Genomic DNA, 20,716 nt, shown 5'->3' with positions numbered 1-20,716 from the left:
CTTCCGATGTGGCTGGCATCTCACCTGGGCTGCTTTTCCTTCTTGTGGAGTTATTCTTATGTAATCGTCATCCAACAAGACAGGGCAGTTCTTTTCTCCGGGCTAACTAGTTGCGTTTACAACTTTCTCCCGTGAACTTTTCAACAATAGTAGTAACGGCAGGGCTTTGCATCACCTATCCCAACTTAATTCATGCCTTTCCTCTTTCTAACAGGAGAGGATGGTGTGGGGAAAATAAAATCTTCTAAGCCGCCTGTGCATTCAGCCCGTGACGTTGCAGTAATGACGCCAGGCTCCGAGCTATAGGGAGAGGTACATGCCTCCTCACAGGATAACAGCCCACGGATCTGACGGTGACTGCAGACAGCCTCGTGGGAGGCAGTGCAGTGCAGTGGTCAGGCCTAGACACCAGGCTCCGGAGCCCCCAGCTGCCCAGGTTTGGAGCTGATCTGCCTTGGTCAGCTGGCTACCCCTGGGCAAATGGCTCCACCTCTCTGGGCGCATTTCCTCATCTACACAATGGGACCCCCCTGACTGTACCTACCTCACAGGGTCCTGGTGGGAGTTCTGTGGATTAACGAGAACCCAGAGCACCGTCAGGCACATGGCGTGCGTTCAGTAAATGTCAAGGGCCTTTTCCACCGCAGCTGCAACTTCTGAAATATTGGAGATGGTGGGAAATCTGCAGACTTACATGTCGTATTATAGAGGGTGGTGGGATGTGGGCTGAACATGGTGGGAAAACAGAGAAAATGAAAGGGTTCTTACCTGGGGCTTATCAGTGGCAGCGACTGCTTCCGGAGCAAAAGGTAACGTTGGCAAAGTCAGAACCCTGTCCCTTCATTCAAGGTCAGAACACCGGCCCCACCCCGGCCCCTCCTCCCACCAGAGTAGCTTCCTTGCTGCGTTGGAATCACCTGGGGAGCTTTCAAAACAAATGTCTGCACCCGATCCCCAGAGACTCCGATTTAATTGGCCTGGGTGTGGCCTGGACACTGAGATTTTTAACGATCCTGGGGCCACTGAGGCCCAAAGCCCTGCAAGATGGGTGATAAGGGGGCAGCCATGCTTCCTCCTGCTGGCCCCGGCATGTGGCTGCCTCAGTGGCCCCGTGTTTCATAGAAGCCCAGGGTACCTGCAGTGACTGGCAGATGCCTTTGAAAATTCCACTTCAGGCACCCTGCAGTCCCAGCACTTAGGGAGGCCGAGGTGGGAGGATCACTTGAGCCCAGGAGGTTAAAGTTGCAGTGAGCTATGATCACACCACTACACTCCATCCTAAGCAACAGGGTGAGACCCCGTCTCTTAAAAAGAAAGAAACAAGCAAAATTCCACTTCCGAAAGGGAAGGGAATGGTCTCGTCTCATTCCCTCGACCCAGAGCACGCCTGGGGCGTGACAAGCTGTGGTGTGGACAGACCCCTTAGGAGGCAAAGGCCGTCTTGCTCACAGCTCCACTTCCGCCCACCCAAGGCTAAGTTTGGCTATGAGCTGTTCTTTTCCTCCGGACACGTGTGAAGTCTCTGGTGGTCCAGCCAGGTGGTGGGTGGAGTTGGGCTGGCCCTGGGAATGGCTGCTGGTCCATGCAGGGGGGTCTCACTGGCTGAGGCTCCATGCTGCCTGCCCCAGGTCACCCGGCCAGGGTGTGGAGTGGCTTTACCCCTGACCTCAACTCCAATTTTGGGGGATGCTGCCTGTACACACCTGCATGTCAACAGGATAAAGGTAAGGGTGTTGGGGGTGCCGGGGGTCCAGCACGGCACTGGGGTGAAGTCCCAGTGGTTCATATTTACAGCTTTTCAAATCCAGAAGGTTCCTAAGGTCTCCCGAATAATTGCATCAATGCTTGAAGAAAATCACAAGCGTTTAAGGAACAAAATAATGTTTTTATTAAAAATTGTACCCATAGCACCTCTCTGTCTTCCTACAAGTTGTTTCTTTTTTTCTTTTAATGAGATCTGTTTTTCTGCACAATTTCAGAAAAAGTTGTAGGGAACGTTTAGGGACCTGACGGCTCCCTAAACCAGAAGGTGACGCGGGAAGGAGACGTGTCCCAGCGGGCAGGCTCAGCTCATGAGTTTCCACGTTGTCCTCACCTTTCAGACTGGATCCATGCTACCAGGACGCTGACCCACGGGGAGCCACACTTAGGTACGCAGACGGGTTGCTCGTCAGGAGGATAGCTACACTGTGTGCCAAGAATGCGTAAGAAATAAAAACCATGCTACGAACCATTAGGCAAACATCATGCTTCAGCCCAGTCACAGTTAGATACAAACACGGCCTCCGAAGACCTGTACAGAGTGAGCCACCTCCCGGGGCTGTGGAGGCGCGTTCCGTGTGTGGCCATCTGGGTCCCCTCTCCCTGGGGCCCCTCGTTTTTTGGCTACAGCATTGAGTGAAGTGCGCCTTATAAAAGCAGGCTGGGAGAGAGGCTGAAGGCGAGGCTGGGGAGAGGGGCTTGGGCTGGACCGATTCACCCAGAAGGTGGCCGTGCAGGAGGCCGAGGGGGTGTGGCCTGGCAGCTCTCTCTGGGCTCACCTGCCTGGAATCTCTGCCCTGGCACCCCAGGAGGAGGGAGCTCTGCACACCCATCCCTGTGGCTCAGACGGAGCCTCCTGGCCACTCCGTGACCACATCCTTGCAGGGTGGGGCCGAAGCAATCTGAAATGAGCCACGTTGGGGGTGGGTGGGGAGACTCAGCCACTGCTGTCATGAGGCATCCGCAAGGCATGACTTTCAGCACGGCAGGAGAGAGCGGGAGCACATTCCATCTAGCCTGGCTTAGAGACATTTTGTTTGTCCTCTTTTTAAAACCGAGATTAAAATCCAACCTCCATCTTCCTAGGCTGTGATTTTCTTTTCCTTCCCTGAAGATAAGGAGTTAGGAACTGTTGCTTCTCAAATGCCGCATTGCTCTGGGAGGCCAAAATCTACCTGGAAACATCCAGCTCTGTTCCTTTGCACAGGTGGTTCTCATGGGACAGAGTCCCTCCGAGGCATGGGCGCTGTCCTAAGCACAGTCCAGCAGCAGCCAGGAGGCCGGCGTAGCCTCGGACAGGCCGCTCCGTACAGATCAAGGTTTACTAAGAGTGGAGGGGAGACGGAAAACATGAGCTTGAAACAGAAGTGTCATGATGTTGTATCGAAAACCCGAGAGCAACAAACATATCTCGAATCTGCTCATCCTCAACCTAAGACGTCTCAACACTCTCCCTGGCATGTAAAGCCACATCCTCATGGCTGCAGAGAGCAGTCATCAGAGTGCACAGAAAGCAGCGCTGGCCATGGTCTCCATTTATCGCTTCTCTTCCAAGAAATTCCAGTGCTCACATCCTGGCTTCCCGCCCACTTCGCCCTCTCCGGGGCCGAGGGGAAGGAGGTGGCACTGTCCACTGTGGTGAGTCTCATCCGGGGAACTGTGGGTTGCGATTCTCATGCAGAAGTGGCTTTGGGCAGAGCATCTAGGATTTTTGGTTTAGAATATTTCCCCCTCCACTCAGAAAAAGGAGGAGAAAAGGAAGAAGGAATAGGGGAGAGAGGAAGGGAGGGAGGGAAAGAAGGGAGGGAAGGAAGGAGGAAAGAGAGGAAGGAAGGGAGGGAAGGAGGGAGGGAGGGAGGAAAGAAGAGAGGAAGGGAGGAAGGAAGGAAAGGAGGGGTAAAGGAAAGGAAGGAGGGGAAGGAAGGGAGGAGAGAAAAAAGGAAACTTGCCATACCCTCTAATTTTGGAAAGACTGAAAAGGGGTTTTCCAGCCTATACAAAACTCTCCTTGGTCTCCTGGGGCCATACTCAGCAACGCTGACAGCACAGAATCCAGGCAATATCCACACCCTCTGCCCATGGAGGTGCACAAAACATCTAGGTAAGCAGGGGCCACACTTTCTGCATGTGGCCAGGAGACTGGCTCCTGGGTGGCACTGGTCAGATACTGCTCAGTTGTCCCCTACCCTCAGGTCACTGGGGGAACGGCACCTGCCCGTTTGCCGTGCACTGGGGGGCACTGACAGGGTGGTCTTGAGTCTTGTGTGTGTCACGCTGCTGCTGGTGAGGGGGCACTTACAGGGACCCGGGGCACACACGCCAGTGGGCACCAGCAGTGCTCCCGTTCCATCCAGACCCGGGACCCGGGCTGAGGGGTGGACCATGGCAGCCCAGTCGTCTGTTGCAAAGATGACGTGAGGGGCTGGAGGCATGGCCATCTCTGAGCTGTTAAGTTTTCCAAAGTAGTTCATACTCTTTTCATCTAGCTGAAAAATTTAAACCAAACAATGACAATTTTAAATAAAAAAAAGAAACATTTCCAAAAAACCTGTTAAGGCTAAAAGCTGGCCTCGGACTGGGAGAGGGGGCAGCAGCAGCGCCAGTGGTGGAGAAGCGGTGGCTGCTGCGAGCAGCCAGCAGAAGCCAGGACAGAGGGAGGGGACGGCCTGGTGTGCACGAGGCGAGTCGGGAGCGTGTGTTCTCAGAGCTGTTTTGCTTTATTTGCAGACACTGTTGCTTTTCATCTTTCCCATGTACAAAGCTGAACAATTAATAAAAAGGCACCTGGAGACAGCAAAGACGCATTCATTTCATGTGACATAGTTTAAAAAAAGATAAAAAGATTTTAAAAATACTCTGGTTAACAATGCACGCTTCCTACGTAACAAGCAATTCTGGAGACGCCGTCCCGTGTCCTCGTGTCCCGCGGAGTTGACCGTGTGCTGTGTTCGGGGAAGGAGAGGGCCAGCGTGGTGGCTTCCAGCCCTAAGAGGCTTCCCTCTCCCTCGCTGTCAGGTGAGAAGGAAGGGGGAAAGACAGGCAGAAAAGCCTGAGGACCGCACCACTGCAGTGACACAGACAGTGACGGCTGAGCCACACCTTAGCATCCCTGCCTGGCCGTCAGGAACCTGAAAGCCGACTCCTTGACTAGACACTGCCAAGTGAGAACATTTCAGAAACAGATGAAGTTGGGACAAAACGCACTGAGCCCAGGGAAAAACGTTTGCTCTTCAAACCCCAGGAGCCGCCGAGGATGTCCTGCGTTGAGAAGGGTGTGAGCCGCTGGTTCTCTGGAAGAGGAGGTAGAAAGAGACGGGGGCCGGCCGGGGCAGCTCTGAGATCTCACCTGACCCTCCACTCCCTCTCCCCGCTTGACCCTTCCTAGTTGGTCTTGAAGACGGAGAAACCCAGGGCTGGGGAGGTCTGAGGTCCTCCCAGGCCCCGGAGGTGCCAAGCCATTGCACCAGTGAAATACACCTTCTCTTAAAAAGAAAAGAAAAAGAAACAAACCTGCTTCCTGCAGCGAAGTTACAAAAAGCCGTTTAAAAAAACCTTCCTAATTGAAATCTAGTGTCCACAAGTAGGTAAAATCATCACTTATCAGATTTTTTTCTTTTTAAACAAAAACTTCAGCTCAGTTATTGGAGTTGATTGTCTTAACAAAAATAGACTCCGGAAAGTTGCCTCCGTTCCGCCCTGAGGGAGGCGCGGCGCTTTGCTCACACGAAGGAGGAGAAGCCGGTGAGCGGAGTTCGCGCGCCGGGGCCAGCGGGGGTGTAGACGCCGCCCGCGCTCTGCGTGGTGATGACCGGGTGCAGCTGCGCGCCCGCCTCGGAGCCCGCCACCGCCTCGTACCTGTGCGGCGCAGGTGCGCGGCCCTGGGCCCTGCGCTTCCATGAGTTGTAGTAGGTGGGGTCGCTCATGTAGTGGTTCACGAAGGAGTGCTTGGGCAGCGCGTCCTCGTAGTCAGAGTCCGTGGCCTGCGGGGAGCGGGAGAGAAGGTGTGAGTGCAGGGCAGGGCGCAGGGCCCGGAGCGTGCTGGGCAGGAGGCCTGGCGGTGGGGGCACCTCCCCAGGGGCGTGTGTCGCGGTCTCCAGCCCTCTCCCCACCCCAACCCAATGCCAGGCCCTCCCACCCTCCACACAGGAGAGCAGGCAGCCCCCAGGTCCCCCTCCCTGATCCAGGTGTGACCGACACTGCATTTTCTCAGCTGCATCCAGCCCCTCACTCTGTACCAGGTTTCCGAGAAGAGCTGGGCCTCCACCCAGGAGAGGTCTATGCAGCCTCCCCACTCAGGAGCAATCTACATGGTCTCCTCACCCCAGGAGAGGTCTACACGGCCTCCCTCACTCAGGAGAGGTCTACACGGCCTTCCTTACCCCAGGAGAGGTCCACACCGCCTCCCCACTCAGGAGAGATCTACGCAGCCTCCCTCACTCAGGAGAGGTCTACACGGCCTTCCTTACCCCAGGAGAGGTCCACACGGCTTCCCTCACTCAGGAGAGGTCCACGCGGCCTCCCCACTCAGGAGAGGTCCACGCGGCCTCCCTCACTCAGGAGAGGTCCACGCGGCCTCCCTCACTCAGGAGAGGTCCACGCGGCCTCCCTCACTCAGGAGAGGTCCACGCGGCCTCCCTCACTCAGGAGAGGTCCACGCGGCCTTCCTTACCCCAGGAGAGGTCCACGCGGCCTTCCTTACCCCAGGAGAGGTCCACACGGCCTCCCTCACTCAGGAGAGATCTACACGGCCTCCTCACTCAGGAGAGATCTACGCGGCCTCCCTCACTCAGGAGAGGTCTACACGGCCTCCCCACTCAGGAGAGGTCTACGCGGCCTCCCCACTCAGGAGAGGTCTACGCGGCCTCCCCACTCAGGAGAGGTCTACGCGGCCTCCCCCACTCAGGAGAGGTCTACGCGGCCTCCCCCACTCAGGAGAGTTCTACGCGGCCACCCTCACTCAGGAGAGGTCTACGCGGCCTCCCCACTCAGGAGAGGTCTACGCGGCCTCCCCCACTCAGGAGAGGTCTACGCGGCCTCCCCCACTCAGGAGAGGTCTACGCGGCCTCCCCACTCAGGAGAGGTCTACGCGGCCTCCCTCACTCAGGAGAGGTCTACGCGGCCTCCCCACTCAGGAGAGGTCTACGCGGCCTCCCCACTCAGGAGAGGTCTACGCGGCCTCCCTCACTCAGGAGAGGTCTACGCGGCCTCCCCACTCAGGAGAGGTCTACGCGGCCTCCCCACTCAGGAGAGGTCTACGCGGCCTCCCTCACTCAGGAGAGGTCTACGCGGCCTCCCCACTCAGGAGACGTCTACGCGGCCTCCCCACTCAGGAGAGGTCTACGCGGCCTCCCCACTCAGGAGAGGTCTACGCGGCCTCCCTCACTCAGGAGAGGTCTACGCGGCCTCCCTCACTCAGGAGAGGTCTACGCGGCCTCCCCACTCAGGAGACGTCTACGCGGCCTCCCCACTCAGGAGAGGTCTACGCGGCCTCCCCACTCAGGAGAGGTCTACGCGGCCTCCCTCACTCAGGAGAGGTCTACGCGGCCTCCCCACTCAGGAGGCGTCTACGCGGCCTCCCCACTCAGGAGAGGTCTACGTGGCCTCCCCACTCAGGAGAGATCTACGCGGACTCCCTCACTCAAGAGAGGTCTACGCGGCCTCCCCACTCAGGAGAGGTCTACACAGCCTTCCCACCCCAGCAAAGATCTAGGTGGCCTCCCCACCCAGCAGAGGTCTACGCAGCCTCCCCACACAGGCCCCAGGGGACTCTGCCTGCCCCTACAGGGCAGAACATAGAAGAGCCCCAGGGGTGGGGAAGATCTGGGTCTTTGGCTTGCCTGAGACTAAGATGTGGGCTGCTACAGACCAAAACAAAAGGATTCTGGAGGTGACCAGGTACAGGGAAGCGGGTGGGCAAGGTGATGAGGTAGAGGGGAAGGAGGGGGTGGGGGGGTGATGAGGTAGCAGGGAGGGTGGGTGTGGGGGTGATGAGGTGGAGGGGAGGGAAGGGGTGGGGGGTGATGAGGTAGAAGGGAGGGGAGGGGAGGGGGTGGGGGGTGATGAGGTGGAGGTGAGGGGTGGGGAGGTGATGAGGTAGAGGGGAGGGTGGGTGTGGGGGGTGATGAGGTGGCGGGGAGGGAAGGGGGTGGTGGGTGATGAGGTAGAAGGGAGGGGAGGGGGTGGGGGGTGATGAGGTAGAGGGGAGGGGAGGAGAGGGGGTGGGGGTGATGAGGTAGAAGGGAGGGGAGGGGGTGGGGAGGTGATTAGGTAGAGGGGAGGGGAGGGGTAGGGGGTGATGAGGTAGAAGGGAGGGGAGGAGAGGGGGTGGAGGTGATGAGGTAGAGGGGAGGGGAGGGGGTGGGGTGTGATTAAGTAGAAGGGAGGGGATGGGGGAGGTGATGAGGGGAGAGGATTGGGGGGTGCATCCTCCCCTTGCAAGTGATCGTGTGACATCACATCCACAGAGACCTCCGAGGGTGGGGAGGGGACGGAGAAATGAAGCTGCCTGAATAAGCCAGGGTGTCTAATATGTCTCCCCGGCCAGGTACTGAATGGCCTGGCCCCTCAAACACACGGAAAAGTGGCCTGAGGCCTCCCACTGATGTTTGAAGATCAGTCCCTTTGAGGCTTTTTTTTTTCCTTTTTATAAAATAAATCAGCAGCTTCCATTAAGAACATGGACCCTGCATGTTTTCTAGGTTCATTTTCTGAAAGCAAACCTCTATTTTATGGTCTTTCGGTTTGATGTGAAGTCATTGGAAGGACCGTTAAAGGAGAAAGTGGACTTTGGGTGGCTGAGGCGAGCGGATCACCTGAGGTCGGCAGATCACCTGAGGTCAGGAGTTCGAGACCAGCCTGTCCAACACGGTGAAACCTGTCTCTGCTAAAAATACAAAAATTAGCTGGGCATGGTGGTGGGTGCCTGTAATACCAGCTACTTGGGAGGCTGAGGCAGGAGAATCCCTTGAACCCGGGTTCAAGGGATTCTTGAGGTTGCAGTGAGCCGAGATCTCGCCACTGCACTCCAGCCTGGGTGACAGAGCCAGACTCCATCTCAAAAAAAAAAAAAAAAAAAAAAAAAAAAAGGAGAAAGCAGAGGGTGAAATTGATTTTTTTTTCCCCTAAGAAGGTGGAGGTTTCTCGGTTTTGCTGATAAGTGCCACATCCTCCCGATGCATGGAAGCATCCTGGGACCCTCACCTGTGCGTCCTAACAGCTTCCCAGGCTCCTAGGGGATCCACCTGGTGGCACAGAGACCAAGGCGCTGCTGCGGAACTAACGCTAAGACGCTTCCCAGGGCCCCCGTCTCTCACAGGGGTCAGGCAGACCTGACCTTTTCCTCTCCCCAGAGGGTATCAAGGGAACTGGGGAGGGGGTAAAAGAGTGAGCGGCCTTGAAATGCCATCTGAGGATCATCAGCTGTGTATCGAGGCAGCAGATTCCTGGGAGTGGCTCCAGCTATCCTGACTCTGTGGGTCTGTCGGAGGCCGGGGAATGTGCATTCTTTTACAGGCTCTCTGAGGATTCCCATCAGCGGCCAGGCTAGGAGCTGCGCCTTGTGGGTGTTAAGACAGACGGCTGTGGCCCCAGATGTGGGCCCCATTGCCAGCCACAGCAGCTCTTTCAGAAGTAAACACTCTAGAAGGAAAACTGCCAATCCGGTTTCCCCAGGGTGTGTGAGCTGCGTCCTTGCAGCTGGAGGCGGGGGTGGGCAGGGGATGGGAGAGTTGCCAGCTCCCCTAATTTTGCAGGAGGTCCACACTGAGACCCAGGAAAACAAAAGCGTCCCTGGGTGCGGTGAGTGATGTTCCTGCCAGCTGCTCCCTCATCTGAGAGTCAGAGTGAATTACCCACATCAGCACCCGGGCAGGAAGCTCTGATCCATGAGCCGACACCGTCCGGCACCTAGGGACTTGGATCTGTCCCGGAGCCCTGTGAGAGTGGTCAGCCTCCAGGCTGTGCAGAAACCCCATGGAGGCGTAGCAGGGAGCCAGAGGTTCCTGGGATTTGGGGACACAGGCTGAAAATCTACCTCAAACTGGAATATTTACATGAAACTAACAGCGAGTCACAGATTTGGGACTTCTCCGAACATTAAGTATAAACTGTTTGGCTTATGGTACAATACACAGAACAGCTGAATCCATCTGTGGCTCCTCTGCATTTAGGAGAATTGCAGACGTAAGACACATCTTCCCACACACACCGAGACCCCGGAGCAGCCAGCTTCTCCATCAGGTGACGATGAACACATCCTCCCACACATGCAGAGACCCCGGAGCAGCCAGCTTCTCCATCAGGTGACGATGAACACATCTTCCCACACACACAGAGACCCCGGAGCAGCCAGCTTCTCCATCAGGTGACGATGAACACATCCTCCCACACACGCAGAGACCCTGGAGCAGCCAGCTTCCCTATCAGGTGACGATGAACACATCTTCCCACACACCCAGAGACCCCGGAGCAGCCAGCTTCTCCATCAGGTGACGATGAACACATCTTCCCACACACACAGAGGCCCCGGAGCAGCCAGCTTCTCCATCAGGTGACGATGAACACATCTTCCCACACACAGAGACCCCGGAGCAGCCAGCTTCTCCATCAGGTGACGATGAACACATCTTCCCACACACACAGAGACCCCGGAGCAGCCAGCTTCTCCATCAGGTGACGATGAACACAACTTCCCACACACACCGAGGCCCCGGAGCAGCCAGCTTCTCCATCAGGTGACGATGAACACATCTTCCCACACACACCGAGGCCCCGGAGCAGCCAGCTTCTCCATCAGGTGACGATGAACACATCTTCCCACACACACCGAGGCCCTGGAGCAGCCAGCTTCTCCATCAGGTGACGATGAACACATCTTCCCACACACACAGAGGCCCCGGAGCAGCCAGCTTCTCCATCAGGTGACGATGAACACATCTTCCCACACACACAGAGACCCCGGAGCAGCCAGCTTCTCCATCAGGTGACGATGAACACATCTTCCCACACACACAGAGACCCCAGAGCAGCCAGCTTCTCCTTCATCGGGTGACGATGATAAACGTGGCAGTGGCTCCTTTTTCGGGAACACCGATTACATACCAGATTAATGCCCGGGCATGATCTCTGCAACTGGCTGAGGATCCTATGATGCAGATGTTACAATTCCCACTTTATGAATAAAGAAGCAAGGCTCAGCGAGAGAGGCTGGGTGGGAGCCTGCACCTGAGCTCCCCAACCCCTCGGGTTCACCCACCTCCGCAGATCCTGTAACTTCCTCCTAGTTCCAGGCTTCTCTCTAGGATCCGCGCAACAGGTGTACAACCCTCCATTCCAAATTCCAAAACCCACAACGCTCTGAAACTCAAAAGGTTTTTTTATAACTCATTTGGTGGCGAAGGCTGAGCTGACTTGAGCTAACCTGGCAGCTTACCCCTAGGTGAGCTGATGTAGGGCTATTCAGTGTGAATATTCTCATATTCTGCTACAAGAAGACCAATGTGTTTGGTCGCCAAGCGCTGGCCCGGCCCTACTGGAGCAGTTCCCTAATATATGATGTACTCCCAAACTTGAGAAACACTGGATTCTTAAATATATCTAGCCTCAAGGGTTTCAGCTAAGAGATCAGGGATCTGTATTTGTGGCTGTTTAAGATTTATTTATTTATTTTTGAGACAGAGTTTCACTCTTGTAGCCCAGGCTAGAGTGCAGTGGTACGATCTTGGCTCACTGTAACCTCTGCCTCCTGGGTTCAAGCTATTCTCGTGCCTCAGCCTCCTATCTGGGATTACAGGTGCCCGCCACCACACCTGGCTAATTTTTGTATTTTTAGTAGAGATGGGGTTTCACCGTGTTGGCCAGGCTGGTCTCGAACTCCTGACCTCAGCTGATTTGCCCACCTCGGCCTCCCAAAGTGCCGAGATTACAGGTGTGAGCCCCTGCACCTGGCCTGTTTAAGATTTATTCTTCATCTGTTTTCTAGGGGCCTTGAGGTGGCTTACAAGGTTAAGCTCTGCGTAAACTAAAACGGAAGAAAAGAGAACAAAGATCATCTGAAGGAAGCCAAAGGAATCTCCATGATTAGCCCCTGAATTGGGTTTGTTACTTCTTTAGAGACCAACTTGGAATCTAAACTTCCTGAAACTTAGGGAAAATCACATGTATTGAAATATAGTGAAGGAATCACTTTTCTCACGAGAAATTCACAGAATATTTAGGAACGAATGACAGAAATTTAGTGCTAGGTTTCACAAACTGGGGTTAGGGTTCATTATCATCTGAAGGTCAAATATGAGGTTCAAGACTTTCACCCTCTTTTGACTATATTCCCAGGTCCCGGGGGTCTTCCCCATTCAACTTCCCTACCACAAGGGATCCTAGTGGGGAAAAACGAGAGAAGTGGTGACTGGATTCAATTTCCTCGTCTTGGGTCTGAAACAATCAACATCCACAAATGCAAGTGACCTTCTTAGGGTCATACTGGCCGGGGCCAGACCGGGGCCAAAACCAGCCTGGTTTCTCAGCCAAAGGTGGCAGAAATAAAGTCCTTTTAGTAGCAGGGAGGAGATACCTTCAACCCCAGTTGTAGAAAAGATAGAGAAACGCTATTTATATGGGTGAGTCTTATATGGAAAGCGTCTCTGCATGGTGGGGAAATCAGCAATTTCAGTGGGAGGGCATGCTACGAATTCAGTTAGTCTGTCTTGCACCCACTCGGTGACCCTTTGGGCATCTCTCTGCCCTGTGTACACCCCTGCCCACCCCTCCTCCTGCAGCTGCCAGGCTGTAGGGAAGCAGGGTTCACACTGGGTGGGGCCTAGGGGTGGTTCGGAAGGGACTGCTGAGCTCTCACTGGAGTCCACATTTCCAAGAGCATGTCCAGAACTGCTTAGAGAATGAGTGTAGCACATGGCCCACACCCATCTGCGTGTTTATACCATTTCCTTCACGGCTTGTATATATGTTGCTATGTATCCTGATGTTTCCTCAGCCAAAGATCTAAAAGTCCTGTAGTCTCAAGAGAAGGGTCTGTGACACATGTGGGTGCCAAGAAGGGGGCCTGGCGGGAGACACAAATTGGGAGTGCTTGGTCGTCCAACTCGCAGTGATTCCTGTTGTTTGTGTCTAGGCCTCAACCCCTTCTTTGAAGGAAGCAGTTCTTCCCCACCACATGGATAGGCTAGCTTGCCTCTCAGAAAACCGTGATTGGCTAATAGCTGGGCATGTGGCTTCAGCTCAGCCAATCAGAGTCTTGCCTTGGGATTTTTCACAATGCAGCTGGAAGGGAAGAGTGCTTTGTTCTGGGGAGGAAAGCTGGGAGGCCGTGAGTTCTGAGTGGCCAGTGCCCACAGACCCAGCCAGGTGATTCTATAATAACAGCTAATCGGACAGAACATAACCATTGTACAGAAAGAAGCAGAGACACGAGGCTCCAAGAGGCTTTTCCTTCTTGCTATTTAGGGAGGAGAAGTGAGAATACACCCAGAGCCACATGACCAATAAATGTCAGGCAGAGCTGAAGCTAAAAGCTGGGTTTCCTGGCTCCTGCTCAGCCCCTGTCATTGCCTCTTTGAGAAAGCACAATCTTAAAATGTCATTCTTCCTCCTGCTGCCTGCTCTGTTTATTATTTATATGACATTATTATTTTTTAATGGGGATGTATTTTAGTGAGTTAGAATTATTGACAAAATGGAAATGCTGCAGAGTCTGTTTTTGGTAAGTTTCCTGTGTGATGTGAAGTAGCAACGTGTGTCGGTTTCCCGGGAAACTGTAGAAGGACAGAAAGTGATTGGATGCAGTATCAGACCGACTGCGAGAGTTTCTAAAGGTGCACAGACGCCTGGAAAGCAGCTAATAAAGATAATCTCAACACTTTGGGTATTACGTTGGCAAGATGAAAGACTCAAATATTATTAAGGAATTAATTGGGTACGATGGGGTTGGTCTAAGCTGGTGGGAGCAGGAGGGATTTTGAAAACAGTTTCTTTGGATTTCGAAAACAATCTTTAACATGTGATTTGAACGGCAGATATCATTCAGAAGCAGCCATGTGATAAAACCGTGACAAACCCTCTTGTTTCTAAACAGAAAAACAGAAATAGCCACAGCATGCGTCGTGTGACACTTAGGACATAATTCAGAGGAGCACCTCCGATCAGGAAGGCTCCTGAGCACCTGGGAACGGATCTGCAGAATTTTCACTTTAGCAATAGTTCTGAGAGTGGTTTAAAAATGTCCTGGGGGATAAAAGGATGGCCTCACTGTTTTCTTAGTGAAATCTTCGCTTCTCAGGAGAGTTTTTCTAGCAGAGACCACAAAGGGCTTCTCACTCCTTATCCCCTGGGCCCTGGAGAAGACGGTGAGCAGAAGCCTGCCTCTGTCCACGGCTTTCACCAACAAAAATGCTGTGTCAAAACACTGGCTTGAAGCCAGGGCCGAGGACGTACATTACTCTTTATTCCCAACATTTCGGTTTATATTGTACTCAAATCTACAAGCTGTCTCCAGTAGAGAGGATAAACGTCTTAAACCCTCGTCGAAATCCAAGCCACTTTTTTGATAGTCCTATTTGAAAACCAATGCTACAGCTTTTGGGTTTATTCCATTGCTGAGCAACCCTCGGTCTGCTTTCCCTGCAATGCTTTCTTCTCTAACAGCCTTTTCTGCAGTTCTGGGACTGGATTCCGTTTCTGTAAACTTGGAGTTAAGGCACCAGGCCAAAGCCCACATTTCTTCCCAGTCCCCTCTGAATATCAGAGTTACTAGCCATGAAGGCCAGGATATTTCTGGAATGGCAATGTGAGGAGGTCAGCAGACCCTCTCCCCAGCGGAACAATGATTTAACTGGTGAAAAGTATTTTATAAATAACCATCTAAAATCTCTGAAGGCTGGGTGCAGTGGCTCACGCCTGTAATCCCAGCCTTCTGACAGGACCAGGCAGGCGGATCACTTGAGGTCAGGAGTTCGAGACCAGCCTGGCCAACATGGCGAAACCCCGTCTCTACTAAAAATACAAAAATTAGCTGGGTGTGGTGGCGCACACCTGTGATCACAGCTACTTGGGAGGCTGAGGTGGGAGAATTGTTTGAACTGAGAAGGCAGAGGTTGCAGTGAGCTGAGATCGCACCACTGCACTCCAGCCCGGGTGACAGAGCAAGACTCCCTCTCAAAAAAAAAAAAAAAAAAAAAAAGTATTTGGAAATGGTGCTCAGAGTAGATAGCAAATGGAGAAAGATAGATTGATACAAGATCTGCGCTAAATCTCACTCGATAGTGAGAGTCTGTGGTGCTTGAGCCATGACCTGCTCTCCCTATCCAATTCCCCCAGCTCAGTGTGACAGAAATTCCACCCTGGGCAGATGTGGCAACAAGGCAGGGCTGCTGGTTTAGGAATTTAACTTGGAGAGGAAAGTTCTGGCATCTCTTATCCAGCTTCCCCTTTCCCCCAACCCAACTCCATGTTGAAGAAGCTCTATTCTAGGCAGAGATGGCCAAGAGTACTGGGGCTCCTGTCCCGCATCCAGCCTTTGCTTGTAAGCTGGGAGCCTGTACCAGGTATGGTACGCCAAGAATACTGGGCCCCGAGTGCTCCCACCCCAGCTTGTTTGTAGGAAGAAGTCCCACGCTGGGAGGAGCAGGCCCAAAAGTCCAGGGACTGCCCTCTCAACCCAGTGCCCCACTTGTGTAGCGGGTGTGTCACTATGGAAGAAGAAGGCTATTGTCCTCACCTCCACTTTGATGCAGTGACACAGAGGTCCTGCGCAGAGTGGAGAGTTATTCTGTAAGAACAGAGAGCTTCCAGCTCTGACTGAGGAAAATGACTTTATTTGGAACAGAGCATACCTAAGGACATTGTTGAAAACTGTGGAGGCTTTGGAGGTGAGGAATGAAGAGGAAGCTGGTAGTTCCATGTCAGCAACAATGGAAGCGGTAAAACCAGCTAGCAGTTTGAAAGACAGAACCAGGAAAAGAGACTTCTGAAGCTAAGAAGAGGCCTCTTAGTGTCAGAGCAAGCTTCAAAGACTGACAGCATCTGGCAACTGCAGAAAGGCTGGACTTCAACTGGATCAGAAAGTGAGGAGCAATCTATGCACTAAGGCATTGCTGAGAAAACCAGAGCTAGCACGTAGTGGAGGTTAACTGCTGGGTATGACGCCAATCATGGTAAACCATCCAGAATCTTAATGGGGACAGGCAAAGGGAGCCCAGCTAAAACCACAGTCATCCCTGGTAGGCAGCAAGACTCTATGCATTGCCCAAGACTGAGGAGCAACATGAGAGCACACACAGTGCAGGGGAAATGGACTTCACTGAATGAATCTAGCCAAATCACTGAACAAACAAGCAAGCAACAATAACCCTCAATGAGGCATGAATATCATTATTCAGAGTTGCTGCAATATATGACCAAAAATGATCTGTTTTCAAAAAAACCCAGGAAAGTATAATGCATACACAGGAAAAAAAAAAAAAAAGAAGGTAGCTTCTGAGGGTGCCCAAACATTGGACTAAGCAGGCAAAGACTTCAAAGGTAGCTATTATAATTATGTTCAAAGAACTAAAGGAGACCATGTTTAAAAAATTAAAGGTATGATGACAATTGAAGAATATCAATAAAGTGATAGAAATTATTTTAAAAACACAAATGGGAAGTTCTTGAGTTGAAAAATACAATAACTGAAATTTAAAATTCATTAGATAGGCTCAATAGTAGACTTGAGCTGGCAGAAGAAAGAATCAGTTCACTTAAAGATAGATTGATAGAGATTACGCAGTCTGAAGAAAAGACTTTTAAAAATGGACAGAGCCTTTGATAAATATAAGACAGCACTAACAGCACCAACATACGTATAATAAGAATATCAGAATGAGAGGAGAAAGAGAAAAAAGCAAAAAAACAAAAACAAAAACAAAAACAAAAACACTCAAAGTAATAATGACTTAAAGTTTCCCAAATTTGATAAAAATCATTAATCTACCGGTAAAATATGTATAGTAATAGCACAAAAAGAAAAGGAAGAAATACAGCTATAGGAGTAAAGTTCCCATAAGTTATGAAAATGTACTATAAATCTGAGGTAGATAATAATACTAGAGTAAGACACTAACAAAAATATCCAAAAATATAGAGCAAAAGCAAAAACAAGGAAATCAAAATGATATATTTGGAAAATTCATTTAACAAAAAGAAGCTGATAGTGGAAAATAGGGAATAAAGATACGAGACATATCTTTATTAGAAAGCAAATATCTGATAAAATGGTAAATATATCAAGAAGATATAACTATAAACACACATGCACCTAACAGAGCCTCAAAATACATGAAATTAAATGAATAGATTTGAAGGGAGACACAGACAATTCAATACAAATAGAGATTTCAATGCACTGACAAATGGCAGAACTGGGAAGAAGATCATACATACAGAAGATGGAAACAACATGATAAATCAGCTAGACCTACAGACACATACAGAACACTCCACCCCAAAACAGCAGAATAACACATTCTTCTCAAGTGGATAGGAAACATTCTCCAGTATAGACCATAGGCCAGGCCTTAAAATAAGACCCAATGAATTTTAAAGGACTGAAAATATATAAATTATGGTTTCTCTGACCAAAATAGGATATAATTAGAAATAAATAACAGAAGAAAATGTGGGAAATTCACAAATATGAGGAAATGTAAAACACACTCCTAAATAACGAATGTGTCAAAGAAGAAATTACACAGAAAATTAAAAAAATATTTTGAGATGAGTGAAAACAAAAACACAACATATTAAAACTTATGAGATTCAGCTAACACAGTGCTTAGAGGGGAATTTTTAGCCATAAAGTCCTGTATTTACAAAAAAAGAAAGATCTCAAATCAACAACATAAACTTCCAACTTAGGAAATTGAAAGAAGACGAGCAAATTAACTCCAAATTAAGCAGAAGAAAGTCATAAAGATTAGAGTAGAAATAAATGAAATAGAAAGTAGAAAAATAATAGAGAAAATCAATCAAACTACAAGTTGGTTCTTTGCAAAGATGAACAAAATTGACAAAACTTTAACCAGAAATAGGAGAGAGGACTCAAATTATTAAAATCAGGAATGAATTATTGATATTAATTACCACTGCCTTTACAGAAATGAAGGATTATAAACAACTGTACACAACTATAAGCAACTGTATCTTAATAAATTAGATTAATGAGGTAGCATTAAAAATCCTTAGAAAGACACAAATGAGTGACACTGACTTAACAAAAAAAAAAAGAGGGGGGGGGAAACGGAATAAATCTATAGCCAATAAACAGATAGAACTAGTAATTAACAATTTCCCACACACAAAAGCCCGAGACCAGAGGACTTCACTGATGAAATCTATCAAACATTTAAAGAATTAATACCAGTTGTGGAAGAAATACTTCCCAAATCATTCAATAAGGCCAATATTACCCTACATAAAAATCACACAAAGATAAATAAGACAAGTAAACTACAGACCTATATCCCTTATAAGTATAGATACAAAAATGCTCAGCAATATTGAAAACTGAATCCAGCAACATATAGAAAGGATTATACACACGTATGTTTATTGCGGCACTATTTACAATAGCAAAGACTTGGAACCAACCCAAATGTCCAACAATGATAGACTGGATTAAGAAAATGTGGCACATATACACCATGGAATACTATGCAGCCATAAAAAATGATGAATTCATGTCCTTTGTAGGGTCATGGATGAAGCTGGAAACCATCATTCTCAGCAAACTATCGCAAGGACAAAAAACCAAACACCGCATGTTCTCACTCATAGGTGGGAATTGAACAATGAGCACACATGGACACAGGAAGGGGAACATCACACACTGGGGCCTGTTGTGGGGTGGGGGGAGGTGGGAGGGATAGCATTAGGAGATATACCTAATGTTAAATGACAAGTTAATGGGTGCAGCACACCAACATGGCACATGTATATATATGTAACAAACCTGCACGTTGTGCACATGTACCCTAAAACTTAACGTATAATAAAAAAAAGAGAAAGGATTATACACTATGAACAATGGGCATTTATTGCAGGAATGCAAGGTTGGTTTAACATCCAAACATTAGTTAATGTAATGTACCATATAAATAGAACAAAGGACAAAAAACATCCAGACAGACACAGAGAAACCATCTGACAAAACTCCAAACCTTTCGATAATAAAAACACTCACCAAACTCAACCAGATAAAGGGAATATTGTTCACAGTAACCAAAAAGTAGAAACAATCTGGTGTGGAAGAAAGTTAACAGAGCAGGTCTGAGACCACTAGCCTTAAAAAGACCTGCTTTCAAAGATTACCCTTGGTTGGCATCTGGGAACTTGACTGGTAAAAAGTTCCTTTCATTGATAAAATGTTTTCCCTAAATTATAAGACTGCAGTGTCTAAACTGTACAAATAATATGGTTTATGCCAAACACCTGCTTTCTTTCTGGAGTCTGGAGTTTTGGTACATGCTTGGCAGAGGATGCCTATGTGACCAGCTTCCGATAAAAACCCTGGGCAGTGAGTTTCTAATCAGCAGTACCTACAATGCAGTTGCAGTTTGCTATAAGTGCAAGGCTATGGTAAAGCCGTGGTAGACAACAATTCCTATGTGTCCTCACAGCTCTCTGGTGGAGGACTAAGTGTGTTCTGTGTGCCTCTATAGGAGAAGACTCTTAGAAGCGTGAATCTGGTCTCCTCTGGACTTTGCTCTGTGCACATTTTCCCTTTGTGATTTTGCTCTGTATTCTTTTGCTGTAATAAATCTTAGTCATGAGGATGTTGTGTGCTGAATTCTGTGAGTCCTTCTAGTGAATCACTGAACTTGGGAGTGCTCTTGGGGATCCCAGACACAACAAACTCAAATGTTCATCAACTGATGAATGCATTTTTAAATGTGGTATATCCATACAATGGAATTTCCCCCCATATAATATAGAAATGAAGTACTGATATGTGCTACAACATATATCAGTGACCCTGATGAACTCTGAAAACATTATGCTGAATGAAATAAGCCAATCACAAAACCACATATTGCATGAGTCTGTTATATGAAATGCTCAGGATAGGCAAATCTATAGAGACAGAAAGTGGCTGCCAGGGTTTGGAGGGAGAAGGGAATGGGAGGTGACTGGTAGAGTTATGGGGTTTCTTTTTAGAGCGATGAAAAAGTTCCAAAATTGTGGGGATGATTGCAAAAACTGAAAATACTAAAAACCATTGAATCGTATATTCTAAATGGGCAAATTATATGATATATGAATTATAACTCAATAAAGCATTTTTTAAAAAGAAGATTCTGACTAGAGTGGGGTTGGGGACTAGGAGGGACATAATTGTCAAGATGGCAGCCTTTCCAAATCCCCTTGTGACATTTGGCCTGTGTTCCGTTAGACCCTACACAGAAAAATACACTTCCTGGCCGGGCACAGTGGCTCATGCCTGTAATCCCAGCATTTTGGGAGGCCGAGGTGGGCGGATCACTTGAGGTCAGGAGTTCGAGACCAGCCTGGCCAATATGGCAAAACCCTGTCTCTAATAAAAATACCAAAAATCAGCTGGGCATAGTGTCAGGTGCCTGTAATCCCAGCTACTTGGGAAGCCGAGGCATGAGAATTGCTTGAACCCAGGAGGCGGAGGTTAGAGGGAGCTGAGATCATGCCACTGCACTCCAGCCTGAGCGACAGAGCAAAACTCCATCTAAAAAAAAAAAAATTACACTTCTGTTCCAAGAAACCACATGGGCAAAATACAACATGTTTGTTTCCTATAAAGGGAGAAGTTCTGAAGTCAGATTTTAAAACAAACAATGTGAAAGAGAACTGATGAAACACACAAATTGATTACTTCGTAAAAGTGGTTCAAATGCGTTGCAATCATCATGCTAAGGGAAAGAAGCCAGTCACAAAAGACATC

At 49.7% G+C, this 20,716-nt stretch overlaps 1 protein-coding gene across 6 annotated transcripts in view, besides 2 other annotated features; it reads right to left on the bottom strand.

Moving 5' to 3' along the window:
• The window catches only part of SDK1 (sidekick cell adhesion molecule 1), a 967,749-nt gene continuing 948,897 nt past the window's right edge, over positions 1,865-20,716 (bottom strand). For 3 of the 6 annotated variants that reach the window (XM_047420038.1, XM_047420037.1, NM_001079653.2), the window contains 2 exons: positions 5,617-5,741; positions 1,865-2,187 (listed from right to left, as the gene is read on the bottom strand). In XM_047420038.1, the coding sequence (XP_047275994.1) occupies positions 2,115-2,187; positions 5,617-5,741 (198 nt within the window). In that variant the 3' untranslated portion in view covers positions 1,865-2,114. Of the gene's footprint in view, positions 5,742-20,716 lie in introns of all 6 variants that reach the window. The other 3 variants (NM_152744.4, XM_024446683.2, XM_024446684.2) reach the window with 1 other exon arrangement.
• Positions 5,986-7,185: an enhancer, noted in NCBI's record as "CDK7 strongly-dependent group 2 enhancer chr7:4303312-4304511 (GRCh37/hg19 assembly coordinates)". NCBI's record gives its function as "activates an origin of replication core promoter dependent on BRD2, BRD4, P300/CBP, MED14 and CDK7 cofactors, with strong dependence on CDK7, by STARR-seq in HCT116 cells {active_cell/tissue: HCT116}" and the evidence as "EXISTENCE:reporter gene assay evidence [ECO:0000049][PMID:35650434]".
• Positions 9,867-11,066: an enhancer, noted in NCBI's record as "BRD4-independent group 4 enhancer chr7:4299431-4300630 (GRCh37/hg19 assembly coordinates)". NCBI's record gives its function as "activates an origin of replication core promoter dependent on BRD2, P300/CBP, MED14 and CDK7 cofactors, and independent of BRD4, by STARR-seq in HCT116 cells {active_cell/tissue: HCT116}" and the evidence as "EXISTENCE:reporter gene assay evidence [ECO:0000049][PMID:35650434]".

Source organism: Homo sapiens, chromosome 7, assembly GCF_000001405.40.
Source record: "Homo sapiens chromosome 7, GRCh38.p14 Primary Assembly".
Classification (NCBI taxonomy): Eukaryota; Metazoa; Chordata; class Mammalia; order Primates; family Hominidae; genus Homo; species Homo sapiens.
This window is presented reverse-complemented; position numbering and strand designations above follow the sequence as displayed.